This window comes from Homo sapiens, chromosome 2 (assembly GCF_000001405.40).
Source record: "Homo sapiens chromosome 2, GRCh38.p14 Primary Assembly".
NCBI classification, from domain to species: domain Eukaryota; kingdom Metazoa; phylum Chordata; class Mammalia; order Primates; family Hominidae; genus Homo; species Homo sapiens.
Window position 1 is genome coordinate 229889244 of NC_000002.12, and position 18363 is coordinate 229907606.

General features: G+C 39.6%; 1 protein-coding gene and 1 pseudogene across 61 annotated transcripts in view, besides 2 other annotated features; one reads left to right on the forward strand and one right to left on the reverse strand.

Moving 5' to 3' along the window:
• The window catches only part of TRIP12 (thyroid hormone receptor interactor 12), a 159350-nt gene that overhangs the window by 125407 nt on the left and 15580 nt on the right, over nucleotides 1-18363 (reverse strand). The gene's annotated exons all lie outside the window — the stretch shown is intronic.
• On the forward strand, nucleotides 5103-5210 carry RNU6-613P (RNA, U6 small nuclear 613, pseudogene; annotated as a pseudogene).
• Nucleotides 11104-11605: an enhancer, noted in NCBI's record as "H3K4me1 hESC enhancer chr2:230765063-230765564 (GRCh37/hg19 assembly coordinates)". NCBI's record gives its function as "activates a minimal SCP1, AML or CMV promoter by ChIP-STARR-seq in primed H9 embryonic stem cells {active_cell/tissue: H9 hESC(primed)}" and the evidence as "EXISTENCE:reporter gene assay evidence [ECO:0000049][PMID:30033119]".
• Nucleotides 12397-12597: a silencer, noted in NCBI's record as "peak4074 fragment used in MPRA reporter construct". NCBI's record gives its function as "represses an SCP1 promoter by STARR-seq MPRAs in K562 erythroleukemia cells {active_cell/tissue: K562}" and the evidence as "EXISTENCE:reporter gene assay evidence [ECO:0000049][PMID:32103011]".

Below are 18363 nucleotides of genomic sequence, written 5' to 3' on the forward strand. Positions count from 1 at the left end.
AAGAAGAAAGGAGGTAACCCTTCACAAGGAGGTCCAAAATAGACCAAAAATCTATTTTGTAGAACACTGTAAGATGATCAATTATCCTGAATAGCTATTGCTAAGCTATTTCTAAAATACAGAGCCACTCATTCCCTAATATAAATCCTGTCTTAGCTCAGATGGCTTGTATAATCCATTAGAATACTAACTGCATTCATGTAACAGAGGATATTCTTCAGGTCTCAAAAGCACACAGACAGCAACTTTTAGTCCACATGCCAAAAATGGTGCACAGACCCAATTTTAACAGGTCTACAATCCTGTTGGCTACCATCATTAGCCAGTGAATGGGGATAGGAGGTCAGCTTATCAATAGTCTTTCTAGTTACTTCCTCTTAAGGGTATCAGACTAGATAGTCTCTAAAATCGGATTCAGTTCCAAATTTTTTAAGACTCCAACCTAATGTTTATTTCAGTTTTTCTTCAATGGGGTACTTTAAAAGTTCTTCCTTATAAAGATATAATAATACCATTTATTAGGGACTCATTAGGTGATTATGAAAAATGAGGAGCTGCTGAGGGAGCAGAGAAAGAATGATTTGTAAATGCTTCTCTCCCTTAAGCGACAGACAGAAACCTCCTGGCTAAGAATAAAAGTTATTCACAGTACAAGGTACCCTGTAGATTACAGCAAAGTGCTCCCTATGGACAAAAACAATTTTATATTTGGTAAATGACCTTTCCAGCATTCAGACACACATAATAAGGCAATATTTTCAAAAATATTCTCTTCAATATATATTCTTGTCACTATTGTGAACTCCACCATAATAATGACATCACAGAGGTTAACTCTTTTTTTTTTTTTTTTTGAGATGGAGTCTTGTTCTGTCGCCCAGGCTGGAGTGCAATGGCGCAGTCTAGGCTCACTGCAACCTCCGCCTCCCAGGTTCAAGCAATTCTCCTGCCTCAGCCTCCTCAGCAGCTGGGACTACAGGCACGCACCACCACACCCAGCTAATTTTTGTATTTTTAGTAGAGATGGGGCTTCACCATGTTGGCCAGGCTGGTCTGGAACTCCTGACCTCAGGTGATCCGCCTGCCTCGGCCTCCATCCACCTGCCTCGGCCTCCCAAGGTGCTGGGATTACAGGTGTGAGCCACCACACCCAGCCTACAGAGGTTAACTCTTTAACATAGTTCAGATTAGGACGTCTATTCCTGACTTACAATAAAAAATATTTTAACGTTGTGATAACCATGGATTTGTGTTATAATCTTTTCCAAACAAGTATGTAGCCTGTCATCAATAGAGCTACAACCTGGGGAACTGTCAGAAACAAAAATTATTAAGATTATAGTTAAGGTGGGGGAAAGGAAGCATTAAAATGTAACTCAAAGTCGGGGAGAAAATACAGACTGTAACTTTAACACCTGGTGAATAATAGTGTCAAATTTTTGTTTAAGATCATGCATTTCAGAGTAATTATACCTAAATTCATTTAGAATGTCTCGAATATTTTTCAAAAGTTAAAAAAAAATTTTAAATGCCATACTCTATAGACTAATGCCCCACATTTCTACATTTAGCATTTTTACCAAAAATAAGTAGATGCCAAAGACTGCCTCTATATTGAGCCAGAATACGTACAAACCAGGAGCCAAGAGAAAATTCAGAGCTGTATTTCCCAAACGTAAATTTCTGTAATACAGATTCCTGGACCCTATCAGAATGGGGGTATGGGAAAATCAAACCATTCTTAGAATAATAGGCTGGGTGCAATGTCTCATGCCTATAATCCCAGCACTATGGGAGGCCAAGGCACAAGAAGGTGGCTTGAGCCCAGGAGTTCAAGACCAGTCTGGGCAATATAAGGAGACCCCATCTCTACAAAATATTTAAAAATTAGCTGGGGCTGGGCGCAGTGGCTGACACCTGTAATGCCAGCACTTTTGGAGGCTGAAGCGGTAGGATCACTTGATCTCAGGAGTTTGAGACCAGCCTAGGCAACATGGTGAAACCCCCTCTCTACCAAAAAAAAAAAAATTTAGCCTGGCGTGGTGGTGGTGCACATCTGTGGCCCCAGCTACTCAGCAAGCTGAGGTGGGAGGACTGCTTGAGCCTGGGAAGTGAAGTCTGCAGTAAGCTGAGATCATGCCACTGTACTCTAACCTGGGCGACAGAGCGAAACTGTCTCAAAAATAAAAAATAAAATTAAAATAGCCGGGTGTGGTGACATGCACATCTAGGCCCAGCTACTCCGGAGGCTAAGGTGGTGAGGTGGGAGGACTGCTTGAGCCCAGGAAGTCAAGGCTGCAGCAAGCCATGATTGTGCCACTGTGCTCCAACCTGGGTGACAGAGGGAGACCCTGCGTCAAAACAAAACAAAACAAAAACACCAAAAGAAATTAAAAAGGAAAAAAAGCAAAATAACTATTTTTCTAGTATCAGCTAGGTTTGACAACTGTGACACAGATTTACGCTATTGTTTTGGTATCATTACGTATCATCTTCTATTCCTTTGTAATTTTTACATGACTCTCCCAACTCCCACAATTAAAAACTGCCACTGATATCCTTAGAAACTTCTAGGAATCTAACCTAAAGAAATACTTGCACAAGTAAGCAAGGATGTAATCACGATGGTCACTGCAGTATGTCACTGTGGAAAAATGGAGATGATCCGAATGTTCTCAGCAAAGGAACAGTTAATAAGTATACTGTATCAATACTATGGCATATTTAGAGGTCCTCAAAAGCAAAGGGGTAAATCTGTATATACTGCACTGACATTCATAGACAGAACATTGTTAATTCATTCCTTCAGCAAATATTTGAAGGCCTATTTGACAGGTGTCAATACTGTTTGCTACAATGGAGCTCACCTCAATTGGAAAGAGAAAATAAACAAACTATATGCACATTGTGGTAAGTCCCATGAAAAGTGAAATAGGAGAAAAATAGGAAGGAGTAGAGGATAATGGGAAGGAGGAAGGAAAAAGCTACTTTGGGTTGAATCATCAGGTAACAGCTCTCTGAAGAGACATTTTAAGCTGAGACTCAAAGCATAAGAAAGAAGCAGGGGGAAGGAAAGGTATGTATTTGTTTATATATGTGTAGGAAAAAAGTCTGCAAAAATACACCTAAATGTCAACAGTGGAGCAGAGAGAGAAGTAGTAAAAAGTACCTATGTCTTGAGTCTGTTCAAACCCTGGCTCTACCATTTTAAGTCATGTTATCTTGGAAAAATTTCATAACTAAGCCTGAGTTTTCTCATCTGTCAAAGAAATCATTATGCCTTTCAGAGGTAAAGACATTGTCACCCATTTGAGAATAATGTGACAAAATACAAAAAAAATTAGGTCAGGCACGGTGGCTCACACTTGTAATCCCAGCACTTTGGGAGGCCAAAGTGGGCAAACTGCTTGAGCGGAGTTTGAGACCAGCCTGGGCAGCATGGCGAAACCCCTTCTCCACAAAAAATACAAAAATTAGCCGGGCATGGTAGTGCGCATCTCTAGTCCCAGCGACTTTCGGGGCTGAGGTGGGAGGATTGCTTGAGCCCAGGAGATGGAGACTGCAGTGGGCTGAGATTGCACCACTGCACTCCAGCCTGGGTGACAGAGTGAGACCCTGCCTCGAAAAAATAAAAATAAAAAATAAAAAGCCATATTCACATTCAAATCAGTAAGACTACAGCTACCACTCATCTTCAAATGGGCATAAACATAAACTGAACAACATTTGTAAAACAGGCTAGTTACACAAATTGAATTATCTTCCTGAACTTTCCATTTTGATTCTTCTTTTACTTCTCACTACCTTTCCCCTGCATGCAGATTATAAAATTTCTCAAAATACAAAAAAGTTGAGAATTGCTCAATACCTGTAAGTCCCATCTAGCTTCTACAATGAAAAGTTTTACATATGTTTTATTACATATGTATCCATATCCTCATTTACGTACCCCTGTGTCTGCCAACTATCCATCCTATTTTTTGATGTATTTCAAAGTAAGTTGCAGGCACCATTATACTTTATGTATCATAAAACAGTTTCCAAATTTTGCTTCATGTTTTCAGTTAAATTTTCAACAACGAAATGCCCAAGTGTTAAGTGTAAAATTCAATGAGTTGTGACAAACACACACACCTATGTAACCCAAATCCTTACCAGGATATACAGTCTATCACCCAAGAAACTTTCCTCACGCTCCTCCCCAATCAGTCCCTGCACTTCACCTCCCAACTCTGCAACTACTGTTCTAATTTTTTTTTTTTTACCATTGTCTTGCCTATTCTAGAATTTTATGTAAGTGGAAACATAGTATGTACTCCTTTGTGTAAGGCTTCTTTGACTCAGCATAATAATATCCTGAGATTCATCTATGTTGCTGAGTTTTATCAATATTTTTACTTTCTTATTGCTGAATATTCTACTGTATGAATATGAACATTTTGATTACCCATTTTTCTGTTGATGGACTAAGTTTTGCCCGTTAAGTTTAAAGCTGCTAGATTTTTCTACAAGTCTTTCCATGGATACATGCTTTCATCTCTTTTGAGCAGAATTAACTAAGAGTAGAATCACTAGATCACCCTCCTGAGTAGCTGTGAGTATAGGTGTGTGCCGCCATGCCTGGCTTTCCTTGTGGGGAGATGGAGGTGAGTAGAGACAGGATGTTGCTATGTTACCCGGGCTGGTCCCAAACTCCTGGACTCAAGCAATCCGCCCACCTCAGCCTCTCAAAGTATTGGCCATCTCTGCTAAAAATACAAAAAGTGGCCAGATTGGTGCTGCATAACCATAATCCCAGCTACTCGGGAGGCTGAGGCAAGAGAAGCACTTGAACCTGAGGGATGGAGGCTGCAGCGAGCTGAGATGGCACCACTGCACTCCAGCCTGGGTGACAGAGTGAGACTCTGGCTCAAAAAAAAAAGTTTTCGTTATTCTGCTGGGTGTGTAGTAGTATCTTATTATTGTTCTAATACGTATTTCCCTAATAACTAATGATGCTGATTATTTGTGTTTGAAGCTAACTGCACCCCCCGCCGACTTTCCAAACCCAAAATACTCAAGAATCTAATATCATTTCAAGCTTTTTAAAAAAAGTCTTTATCGTGATCACTTTGGCAGCACATACACTAAAAGTGGAACTATACGGAGAAGAATAGCATGGCCCCTGTGTAAGGATTACACAATTTAATATTGTTTTTAAAGGCCTTTATCAACTCTCAACTCATGAAATAAGGGAAAAAAAACTATGGGATACACTTTCATGATGAAGATGACCAGAAATATTCCTGAACCCCATCCCAAACCGACTGCTGGGAAAGTTGCCTTGTTGCTAAAAAAAGCAAGCAAGACAGGGGAGACAGCAGGAGAGAAGAGAAGGAAGGGGAAAAGAAAATCTATACCTGAGAATTTATACATGTGTGGCCAAGATTTGTAGGCATATTTCAAATCAGGTGAATGATCCAAGAAACTTTAAGCCAAGGAACTTCAAATCCTACTGATCACTTAACGCAGCGATGCTCAGTATTTAACGTGCCTAAGAATTACCTATGGATCTTGTTAAAATTCACATTCTTGTTAAAATACAGGGATAGAACTTGAGGTGCCATGTTTCCTAAAAAAACTTCTCTGCCAGTCTGAGAACCATACTTTGGGTAGCAAGCTCTTAGTGCATCTAAATACTTGACAAGAGCAAAGTAAACCTTTAGAGAAAGGCACCTTTAGGCCTCGGAAAATGCTACACATAATCTAAGGACAATGAACAGAATATACATAACACTCAAGTAAACAAGGCATCATGAATAAAAACCTGCAAAAAGACACAAAACATTTCAGATAGGAGAATTATCAGATCTTAAAATGCTCACAATGTGTAGATGCATAAAGGACAAACATGAGAAAGATAAATGAAACAGAAAAACTATTAAATGTTACATAGATTTGGAAAACAACCAAACAGAATTTCTAACATGAAAAATAAAATAATAAAGCTCAGACAGGTCTGGCTGCCTATTAGACAAAGACAGCAAAGTGGAAGACAGAAGGAATTATATAAAATATATACAGAAAGAACAAAAGATTAAAAATAAGATATGCAGAGAATAAAGTGAGAAATTCATATATAAGTTTAAATAAAAATTCCAGAAGTAGAAGAGTGAAGAAATGTGAGACATATCTAAACATTTAGTGGCTGAGAATTTTCTAGAACCAGTAAATGATATGAATCCACAGATGCAAGGGACCTAACTGAGCTCAAACAGGATAAATAAAAGACATCTAAACCCAGACATGTCCTAAGTCAAAAACAAAATAGGTGTGGCGGCCTATTAGACAAAGACAGCAAAGTGGAAGACAGAAGGAATTATATAAAATATATCACAGAAAGAACAAAAGATTAAAAATAAGATATGCAGAGAATAAAGTGAGAAATTCATATATAAGTTTAATAAAAATTCCAGAAGTAGAAGAGTGAAGAAATGTGAGAGACATATCTAAACATTTAGTGGCTGAGAATTTTCTAGAACCAGTAAATGATATGAATCCACAGATGCGAGGGACCTAACTGAGCTCAAACAGGATAAATAAAAGACATCTAAACCCAGACATGTCATAATTCAAAAACAAAATAAACTAGCCACATGTAGAGCTGTGCAGGAGGATCGCTTGAGCCCAGAATTTTGAGACTACAGTGACCATGATAGCACCACTTCATACCAGCCTGGGCAACAGAGTGAGACACCATCTCTAAAAAAATAATAATAAAATAATAAAATAAAACATTCTACACCAAGTGAAATTATCTCCAATGAATGAAGTTTTGGTCAGATTAAAAGTTTTTCCACCAGCAGAAAAGAAGTGGCCCAGGAAAAAGTAAAGGTTGTCACCTTTACAGCTAAATGTAAATGAATATTAACTCTATATTATACTATAGAGTAAGATTCAAAAAAATTTATTCAAATGACAGTATCTTAAGGCCAACAGGAACTTGGTAAATGGAGTTATCATTTTAAGGTCGTTGTATTTTCCACAAAAAGACCTTGTTAAATATACTGTTTTACTTTGTAAAACAGGCAGGCAGAGACTAGAATCATCTCTCTATTAAAAATAATAAACTCAGCCAGGCGTGGTGGCTCACACCTGTAATCCCAGCACTTTGAGAGGCTGAGGCAGGTGGATCACCTGAGGTCAGGAGCTCGGGACCAGCCTGGCCAACATGGTGAAACCCCGTTTCTACTAAAAATACAAAAATTAGCTGGGCATGGTCAGGAGGCTGAGGCAGGAGAATCGCTTGAACCTGGGAGGTGAAGGTTGCAGTGAGCTGAGATGGCGCCACTGCACTCCACCCTGGGTGACAGAGCAAGACTCCGTCTCAAAAATAATAAAATAATAATAATAAACTATTATGAAGGCAACAAATCAGAAAATAAAATGAAGTAAAACTCCATCTCTAGTTAAGATTATCAGACTAGGCTTTTAAAATACTCTAACTACAAGAGATAATCTAAGAAACAAGAATACAGAATGAAAGAAGATGAAAAATACCATACAAACACTAGGCAAAGCTGGTGTATCTAAAAAAGACTTTACAATAAGACTCTTGTTTTTAAAAGTAATAAAAACTTTTAGGGTGGTAAAAATTACAGTTTATAATACTACAATGGTAGCTGTATGTCATTACAAATTTGATAGAAGATGCAAAAAGAATAAATCCTAATGTAAACTAGGGACTCTGGGTAATAACATATCAATGTAGGTTCACTGACTGTAACAAATGTACCACTTCGGTGGGGGATGTTGATCACAGGAAAAGGCTATGCATGTTGAGGGGTAGAGGAGTGTACAGGAAATCTCTGTACCTTCAGCTGATTTTTGCTATGTGAGCCTAAAACTACTCTTAAGAAGTCTTTTAAGGCATTAAAAGGCATTACCAGAGATAAAAAGAGTACCTCCATAGTGAAAAAGGGTTTAATCCAGTGACACTGCAATTCTCAATTTATATACACTTCATTTATATACAAGGCCTAATATTACATATTAAAAAACTAAAAAATACCAAATCCAAAGTGGATTTTAAAACACTTCTCTCAGCAACCAATATAACAAGACAACTAAAAAATAAATAAGGGGCCAGGTGCAGTGGCTCACGCCTGTAATCCCAGCACTTTGGGAGGCCAAGGTGGGAGGATTATTTGAGGTCAGGAGTTGGAGACCAGCCTGGCCAATGTGGTGAAACCTCGTCTCTACTAAAAATACAAAAATTAGCCAGGTGTGGTGGCATGCGCCTGTAATCCCAGTTACACCGGAGGCTGAGGCAGGAGAATCGCTTGAACCAGGAGGCGGAGGTTGCAGTCAGCTGAGATCGTGCCACTGCACTCCAGCCTGGGCGACAGAGTGAGACTCCGTCTCTAAATAAATAAAGATAATTATCTATTCAAGTTTTACAAAATCTTCTTGCCTTAAAGTTCTCTATACTTCTGCATAATTACAACTCTGAAGAGCCCCATGGCACTTTGCAAACTTAGACATTTCGTTAGATGCCTCTGCAAGTGGGTACTTACATTAGACAACCATGTTTGCCTCCTCTCTCTCCCCCCTATGTTCCCACAGACTCCTATGAATGCTGCAACATAATACCTAACACCCTTCCAGATAGTCACAACACCTGCCACAAGTTAACCAGGATTCAAGACTCAACAAACAACCTATGATGGACCAATGAGAGTCTCCTCCCAAGACTCTTTGGGTACCTAGATTGTAAAACCTAAGTTTGGCATTATAATGGCTGTATTTAATACAGTCAAATTAGAAAGCAGTCTTTAGAGAGAAAGAGAGAGACAGCAGACACAAAGACAGTAGAGACAATAGGTGATAGTTTCGGAAATACTGGTTTCCCTAAGGCCCAGCTGCCTAATTCCATTCTTAAGGATTTCATTAGACACACATTGATAAGTCAATGTCAAGTAATAGTCTTAGGTAAGCAGGCATTCAATTAATGTTTGAATATTTTTTAAGTCCCACTTTATTTTTTACACCTCCAAATTGACATTAGTGTAAACTTGACTCATTCAGAGATTTCCCCCAATAACAAAGACAAAATTAAGCCACAGCGCACGAAGTAACAACAATGTACAAAGACTTCTAACATGTGTCTCTCTTTAACCCTAATAACCCCAGAATTATAGCAAGAGAAAGCCATTACTCACATTTAACACAAAAAGTAAGACGCAAAGGAAATTCATCTATGCTCAAGCGTCTAAGGATTAGAATTAGAACTCCAGTCGCCTGACTCTCAGGCCAATTTACTTATACACTGACCTTTAAAAGGGTAAATTCAAATCAAAACTTTCTATTTGTATTATACTATATACAGTAATAAAAAAATCAACTTTTTAAGTGATAATACACAGTATAAAAAAAAGATTCTTCTCTAAAATTTGCATCAGATAGCATTTTGTTTAAATTTTTTTTTAAAGACAGGGTCCCACTGTCCACCAAGGCTGGAGTGCAGTAGCACAATCAAAGCTCACTATAACCTCCACCTCCTGGGCTCAAGTGGTCATCCCACCTCAGCCTCCCCAGTAGCTAGAATTATAAGTGTGCCCCACCGCATCCACCTAATTTATTTTTATTTTTTGTAGAGACAGAGGTTGGGAGGTGTCTCACTGTTCCCCAGGCTGGTCTTAAACTCCTGGCTTCAAACGTTCCTCCAACCTTGGCCTCCCAAAGCATGAGCCACTGTGCTCAGTATTGCTGAATACACTAAAAGTCATCAGCAAGAAACAATAAAATGGTATATTTTCTTTTCCCATTCCTTATTGAAGTAAAAGAGAAAAACATTAAGAAACCAGTAAAGCAAGAAAAAGAGGGCTAAACAAAACCACAGCCATCAAATTTCTTCTTTTTTTAATACAGATGAGATTTCCAGGCCTGTCTCGAACTCCTGAGCTCAAGCAATCCACCCACCTTGGCCACAAGCCATGGCACACGGTCTAGCCACCAAATTTATATACGCAATCACTTTTTCAGCCACAGGGAATAGAAAAATAGTTAAAACTGTAAAAAGAAGTAGAAACAGGAGGTACTGCCACACCTCCAAAGTGTTAGAACAGTTAAGGTTTTCCTCAGGTGGAAAAAAAATCAGGAAAACCAGCAAGAATGAGCTAGAATAAACTAGACCAAGATTCTACCCTGTGCTATCAGCTGTGAAAGACATGAGCTAGCCCAAGCCCTCTTTCAAAGACAACTTGAAGTGAGGTGTGCAGATAGCCAGCGGTGATACTGGAATCTTTGGTAGGATGCATGCAAGGTTTAAAAGAATGCTGGGAAGCTCAGACCAACGGAAGACCAAAATGGAAACAAGTAACTGGAGTAAAAGGCGACAAACTACTACTCTAAGTACTATTAGAGAAGAGCAACCCGAGCCCTAGGGGTGGCAATACACATTCCAGGAAGAGCTGGTATATAAGAACTCATGAAAATAAGGTATTTCCCCAAGAGAGAAGTGGAATGGTCTAGAATGGGAGGCAAAAAGGGAGTTCTAGCAAGAGACAACTTCAGAAAGGTCTAGGGGCATGAATGAATGAGCAATATATAACTGTGGATAGGTTTCAAAGGAAAGCCTGAAAACATGCAAACAACTGAAATGACAAAACAACCCAAATACACAATTCACACCTATAATCTTCCAAACAAACTGCATACCAAATATATAGAAGGCGCTAATAGGTCTTTTAAAACAAGTTGTTACATACAAAAAGAAAGCCTATGGAAGTTCTGTTGTTTGGTTTGTTTTTAACTGACATGGGTTTATTCAAAACACAGTTGCACAAAATAACTTCAAAGTTTTTAAGGAGAGATTCTTGAGAACTTAACACACTATGTACAGACTGTTATACAAAGGAAGCTCTTAAAAGTCCATCACACATTTCATGTTTGCTTTAGTTGAACTTCTACAACCTAGGAATTAAAAAACAAACAGAAACCTGGTAAATTGTTTCGCAAAAAGTAGAGTCATCACTATACTTGAATTTGGTTCTGAAATGAATTTGGCATCTTCCAATAACTGTTTCCTATCTAACCTGCTTGAAGTGACACTATCATAACCAACAAACGTATTTTCTAGTTAACGAGATGTTTAAATTCAAATAATTTAAGTAGAAATAGTAAATTGAAATTGCCAATGGGGTATTTCTTCCTAAAGAGAAATCCAAATAACAGTTTCCATTTGCAGTCCCATACTACAGATGATTAAGATATTTTTCAGTTGATAAGATTTTTAACTAAGAAGACAGCACATTACAACATTAATTCTAAAATTTAACCTAAAAGTTAATAGAATTTGGCCAGGTGCGGTAGCTCACGCCTGTAATCCCAGCAATTGGGAGGCCAGCACGGGTGGATCACTTGAGGTCAGGAGTTGGAGATCACCCAGGCCAACATGGTGAAACCCTGTCTCTACTAAAAATACAAAAATTAGGTGGGCGTGGTGACACATACCTGTAGTCCCAGCTGCTCTGGAGGCTGCGGCAGGGGAATCGCTTGAACCCGGGAGGCAGAGGTTGCAGTGAGCTGAGACCGCGCCACTGCACTCCAGCCTGGGCAACAGAGGGAGACTCTGTCTTTAAAAAAAAAAAAAAGTACTGCCTACTGTAAATAGGTGAATTGTATGGCATGTGAATTATATCTCAATAAAGCTATTTTTTTTTTTTTTTGAGACAGAGTCTTGCTCTATCGGCCATGCTGGAGTGCAGCGACGCAATATTGGCTCACTGCAACCTCCGTCTCCCGGGCTCAAGCAACTCTCCTGCCTCATCCTCACTAGTAGCTGGGATTACAGGCATGTGCCACAACGCCTGGCTAATTTTTGTATTTTTAGTAGAGACAGGGTTTCACTATGTTGGCCAGGCTGGTCTTGAACTCCTGACCTCAGGTAATCCGCCTGCCTCACCCTCCCAAAGTGCTGGGATTACAGTCATGAGCCACCACACCCGGCTCAATAAAGCTGTTTTTAAAAATTCTATTTTGTTCACAAAATGCTTTCTACCTTCAAAAGTATTACATAATAAGGAAAACTTTGGCCAGGCGCAGTGGCTCACTTTGGCCAGGCGAGGTGGCTTACGCTTGTAATCCCAGCACTTTGGGAGGCTAAGGTGGGTGGATCACCTGAGGTCAGGAGCTCAAGACCAGCCTGGCCAATATGGTGAAACCCCCCTCCTCTACTAAAAACACAAAAATTAGCCAGGTGTGGTGGCGCACACTTGTAAATCCAGCAACTTGGGAGGCTGAGGCAGGAGAACTGCTTGAACCTGGGTGGTGGAGGTTGCAGTGAGCCGAGATTGCACCACTGCACTCCAGCCTGGGTGACAGAATGAGACTGTCTGAAAAAAAAAAAAAATGAGAACCGAATTTTATTTTTACTGTTACCCTACTTCAGAACAGTTTTTTAGGAACTGGAAGGTAATAAGACAGTCTTTTCCCTCAAGGAATATACACTCTACCAGGGTCGGCAGACAAATAGCAATTACCAGACAGTTCTGTGAGGAAAACTAAGCAGTGGGAAGAGAAGAAGATAAGAAGAAGTAGAGACTACAGACAGAAGATGGTAGCAGACAGGGTTCCCTACCCAAATTCCAACTACCCCACCTTTCTTCCCTGCTAAAAGAATCCAGCTACAACCGCCTTTAACCTCCCAGGAAGCAGGCTATTCCCTCGCCCTCAGGGATGAGTCATGATTGGGCTAAAGCCAGTTATTTCTTTCAAACTTCAAGATTAGAGGCATGAAATCAATTTAGACCACTGGTTCATAATGAGGATTCTTATACTTGGAAGAAATAATTTCACTAACCTCTAATTGAAATTAAAGCCAGGCATGGTGACTCATGCCTGTAACTCTAGCACTCTGAGGGGGCCAAGGCAGGTGGATCACTTGAAGTCAGGAGTTCAAGACCAGCCTGGCCAACATAGTGAAACCCCGCCTCTGCTAAAAATACAAAAATTAGCTGGGCATAGTGGTCGTGCCTACAGTCCCAGCTACTCGGGAGGCTGAGGCAGAATCACTTAAACCCAGGAGGCGGAGGTAGCAGTGAGCCGAGATCGCGCCACTCTACTCCAGTCTGGGCAATGCAGCGAGACTTCGTCCTCCCCCCACCAAAAAAAAAAGAATTTTAACATTTCTTTCTCATATGAATAGGCAACAAACCACAGCATTATTGGCGGTACCTTTAAGTTTGTACCAAAAGAAATCACTGATATTATATCACATTACAATTGCTGCAGATACCTCAAACTATCCTTTACACTCAACTACTTTGAGAAGCTGCTAGATCGTTACTGACAGTGCTAATAAACATATTACTGATTACATACCAGCTTTCACAGTTTGAGAGCTAGACTTCCAACATTTTGAGATCTTTGGTTTTTTTGAATCTTATGGGTATTAATTTTGTGAATTTAACAATATTATTCTGAGGTATCCACGAGCTTCAGACTGCTAAAGAATCTATGCTTCAAAAAAGGTTCAGGGCATCCAGACTTAAAAGGTCCTAACCAAAACTTTCAAATGAAACAGAGAAAAGAAAATAGAGCATGCATAATCATTAAGCACAGCTCATGCAACTTACTTCAGTTACACAGATATGCCTTCACATACAGTGCTGACACACAGTAGGTCATTCATATTAGACTGCATATTAGAAGAATTTAAAAGCCAATGGTCTAAACCTGGCTGTGTACAAAATACCATTACTGTGTGCGGGTTTTTTTTTCTTTTTCTTTTTTTCTTTTTTTTTTTTTTTTTTGCCAGAAGTATGATCCAGTTGTCAGTAATAAGATATACAGGGAGACAGGCTAGGCATCCTCTAGGAATACTTTTGCTTTCTAGATAAACAACAATAGGAACACAACAGTATCTTTTCTTCTTCCTGACTCAAATGCAATGGACACAATGACTTCAAGCCTTGACAGCCATTCAGTAACCGTGAGAACCACTTGCTGCTTAGAATGGCAGAGCAGAAACACACAGAGCCTGGCCCTTGCTGGAACCACTGTGCAAACGAACCATGTCGTGCAAGGAAAAACAAACCCCAATCTGTTTAAGGCCTTGTTGGTCAAGTTTTCTATTTACTTGCAGGTGAAAATGTTCCTATCAGAAAAAGGAATTATTATGGATAGGATGACCAAGTAAGGCCATCTGAGCTAAAACCTTACGCATGAAGAAACAGCCATTAAGATCTAGAAGATGACGTTCCACGGAGCAAGAAGAGCAAGTAGAAGGCAAGAAAAGCAGGAGATGATGTCAGAGAGGTGGCCATGTAGGAGCCTGTGAGCCACAACAAGGAGTCTTCTTACTCTTCCCATTGGGCTGCCACAAGCAAAGAGCCACATCCTGCACAAGGTTAATACAAATGATATTACAAGTATCCCAAGTTAATGCAAGATACTCCAAGGTAATACAAAAGATAAGGGAGGAAAATTTCATTTAAAAACATGGTTTTGGCCAGGCGCGGTGGCTCATTACCTGTAATCCCAGCACTTTGGGATGCCAAAGCAGACAGATCACTTGAGCTCAGGAGTTCAAGACCAGCCTGGGCAACATGGTGAAACCCCATGTTGTCTCTACCAAAAATACAAAAAAAAAAAAAAAAAAATTAGCCAGGCATCGTGATGCACGCCTATAGTCTGATCTACTCAGGAGGGCTGAGGCAGGAGGATAGTTTGGGCCCAGGAAGTGAAGGCTGCAGTGAACTAAGATGGAGCCACTGCACTCCCGCCTGGGCAACTGAGCAAGACCCTGTATCAAAAAATAAAAATAAAAATAAATTAACTTTTTAAAAAAGCATGGCTTCACAGATATGAGTACAAAGCTAGCATTTTTAAAAAGGATTATTAACAATAGTTTCTGGCCAGGTGTGGTGGATTACACCTGTAATCCCAGCATGGGTGGCCAAGGAGGATGGATCACCTGAGGTCAGAAGTTTGAAACCAACCCAGTCAACATAGTGAAACCCTGTCTCTACTAAAACTACAAAAATTAGCCAGCTATGGTGGCGTGAGCCTGTAGTCCCAGCTACTTGAAAGGCTGAGGCAGGAGAATCGCTTGAACCCAGGAGGTACAGGCTGCACTGACCCAAGATTATGCCACTGCACTCCAGCCTGGGAAAGAGTGAGACTCCATCTCCAAAAAAAAAAAAAAAAAAAAAATTTTAATCTGACAAAAAGGGAAAGATTTTAACAATTATGGTTAAGTAAATATAAAGCACATTAATGAAGAACTAATAATGCAACAGGAAGATGCTCATCATATAATAGCATAAGGAAAAGCAATATGATCTGCTATTATTAAAACAGAGGCTAGAAGGAAAGACTACATACAAAAATGTTTATAGTGGTTATATGAGGTGGCAAAATTGGGGGTGATTCTTAGTTTTCTTTATTCAAATTTTAACAATTGCTCTATACTTTATAATCAGAAATAAATGCCTCAAAAAGCATAAGTTTTAAAAAGTCATTCGCTACATGTTACGTGACACCCTGGATAGGATCCTGGAACAGAAAGACATTAGGTGAAAATTAAGAAAATTCAAATAAAGTATAGGTAGTAATAATGTATCAATACTGGGTCATTAGTTGTGTCAAATGTACCATACTAATGTTAAAATTTTCACAAACAGAAACTGGATGTGGAGTATAGGAGAACTCTATCTCTGAAGCTTTTCTGTGAATCTGAAACTGACCTAAAATAAAAAGTGTGTTTAGGCCGGGTGCGCTGGCTGATGCCTGTAATCCCAGCACTTCAGGAAGCTGAGGCAGGCGGATCACCTGAGGTGGGGAGTTCGAGACCTGCCTGACCAACATGGAGAAACCCCGTCTCTACTAAAAATACAAAATTAGCTGAGCGTGGTGGCACATGCCTATAATCCCAGCTGCTAGGGAGGGTGAGGCAGGAGAATCGCCTGAACCTGGGAGGCAGACGTTGCGGTGAGCCGAGATCGCGCCATTGCACTCCAGCCTGGGCAACAAGAGCAAAACTCCGTCTCAAAAAAAAAAAAAAAAAGTGTATTTAAAAAGACTCTTCAAGTGGGCAAGTGCAGATAATAGGAGTCATTACTAAGTTATAGCAGGCAAAAAGACAAAGTCATTTAGGAAGAGAGAAGATATATTTTGAAAGAGTCAAGGGCAAAACGTTATACACAATAATGAATACCCAGCACACCACAGACCCTCACTTGTAGAATAAGGCCCTCAGTTATTATACTGTCTTCTCTGCAGTCTCTTAAAACAGTTTTCAGACACAAAAGGTTTAAACCATCTTCAAAAATAACAAAAGCATTATTGATCCCTTCAGGTAACAAAGTGCTGAGAATAACGAATATACTTTTAAAAATACCTTTGAGCTACCAAAATTATCACTGTCTTAAAGCCACATAATGCAAGCCTTTACCCTGAACTTAAGGTACACAAGTCTAGAAAGTAGTTTTGCAACTCAATGCATATTAAAAGCTGGGGGAGGAGGGTGTAGCTCACAGTGCCTAAACACCAAGACGCCCACCAATCAGAGCAAGGAGAGAACACATGCACTGCACAAAGCAATTAAGTTCTATAAAAAGCAGGCCATTTAGGAGTATCCAATAGCCAATGAGGGCCTTAAGGCTAAGTATAATAAACCAATGTTCACTAATGATGGCCACAACTCAGGCACAAAACATTACAGTGCATTCAGAACATTCTGAAAAATCAACACCTATATAGTAACTGTTGAAGAACCACATAAAGAAACATGTTCATGGCCAGGCGCAGTGGCTCACGCCTGTAATCCCAACACTTTGGGAGGCCGAGGTGGGCAGATTACCTGAGGTCAGGAGTTTGAAACCAACCTGGCCAACATGGTGAAACCCTGTCTCTACTAAAAATACAAAAATTAGCTGGGCATAGTGGCACACGCCTGTGATCCCAGCTACTCTGGAGGCTGAGGCAGGAGAACTGCTTGAGCCTGGGAGGTGGAGGTTGCAGTGAGCTTGAGATGGTGCCACTGCACTCCAACCTGGCTGACAGAATGAGACTGTCTCAAAAAAAAAAAAAAAGAAAAGAAAAGAAACATGTTTACTGTTTACTGCATGAATCTTTCTTCATCAGGTTTTACATCTATTTCTGAAAAAAAAAAAATAAATAAAAGACTTCCATTAATTAAAAAAAAAGAAATTAGGCCGGGCTCAGTGGCTCACAACTGTAATCCCAGCACTTTAAGAGGCCGAGGCGGGTGGATCATGAGGTCAAGAGATCGAGACCATCCTGGCCAACATGGTGAAACCCTGTCTCTACTAAAACTACAAAAATTAGCTGGGCATGGTGGCGGGCACCTGTAGTCCCAGCTACTTGGGAGGCTGAGGCAGAAGAATTGCTTGAACCTGGGAGGCAGAGGTTGCAGTGAGCTAAGATCACACCACTGCACTCCAACCTGGGCAACACGGTAAGACTCCACCTCAAAACAAAAAAAAAAAAAGAAAAAAAAATAAGAAATTTATCCTCTAGCGATTAAAAAAAGACCTTGAAACTAGGTAAAGAGGAATATGGGATGTTCCTTACACTATTTTTGCAAGATTTTTATAAATCTGAGACTATATCAAAATAAAGACATCAAAAAATGTATGCCATATCACACTGCTAACACTGACCTTATTTATTTGAAACTGTAAGTAGTCAAAGAGACTATAATTAGCAGTGATAAAACACCTGAACCTAAATCAAATTTAGAAACAGCCCCCCACAAAACTTTTCTAAGTGTGTAATCTGGGTCAGGGTTATTTTTCCTTTCAATTTTTAGATTCCATTTTAATTGTCCATTAAATTTACTCAAAACCTAAATTATAACATCTTAAAAATAAATACACACTGTTGACTGTAACTTTATACATTGCCACCAACTGTGAAAATAAGGCACCATTTAGGAGAACTATTAACATTTACAATAAAACAAATACTATTTGATCACTCAACTGGGAACCAGGCACTGTGCTAGGTAAGAACTTCATTTACTCATTAAAAACTGAAAAGAATCCTGAAAAGTATGTATTTTCTATATTTTACACAGTAACATGCTCAAGGTCAAACAAGGAAAAACTAGAACCCAAGTTCATCTTGCTGCAGAGTCCATAACACTCGCAATGATCTCATTTCAACTCTAAAATTCTACCACTCAAATAATTCCAAGATAGTATCAGAAAAATCCATCTTCTCAAAACTGTCTTTTCAGATGCAAAGGAAAGGAAAATAAAAACACTGTCTCTCAAAAGGCATGGTTACTAAAAATAGTATTCTTACAATGCTGAGGAAGCTGAGGCAAGAAGATTGCTTGAGGCCAAGAGTTCAAGA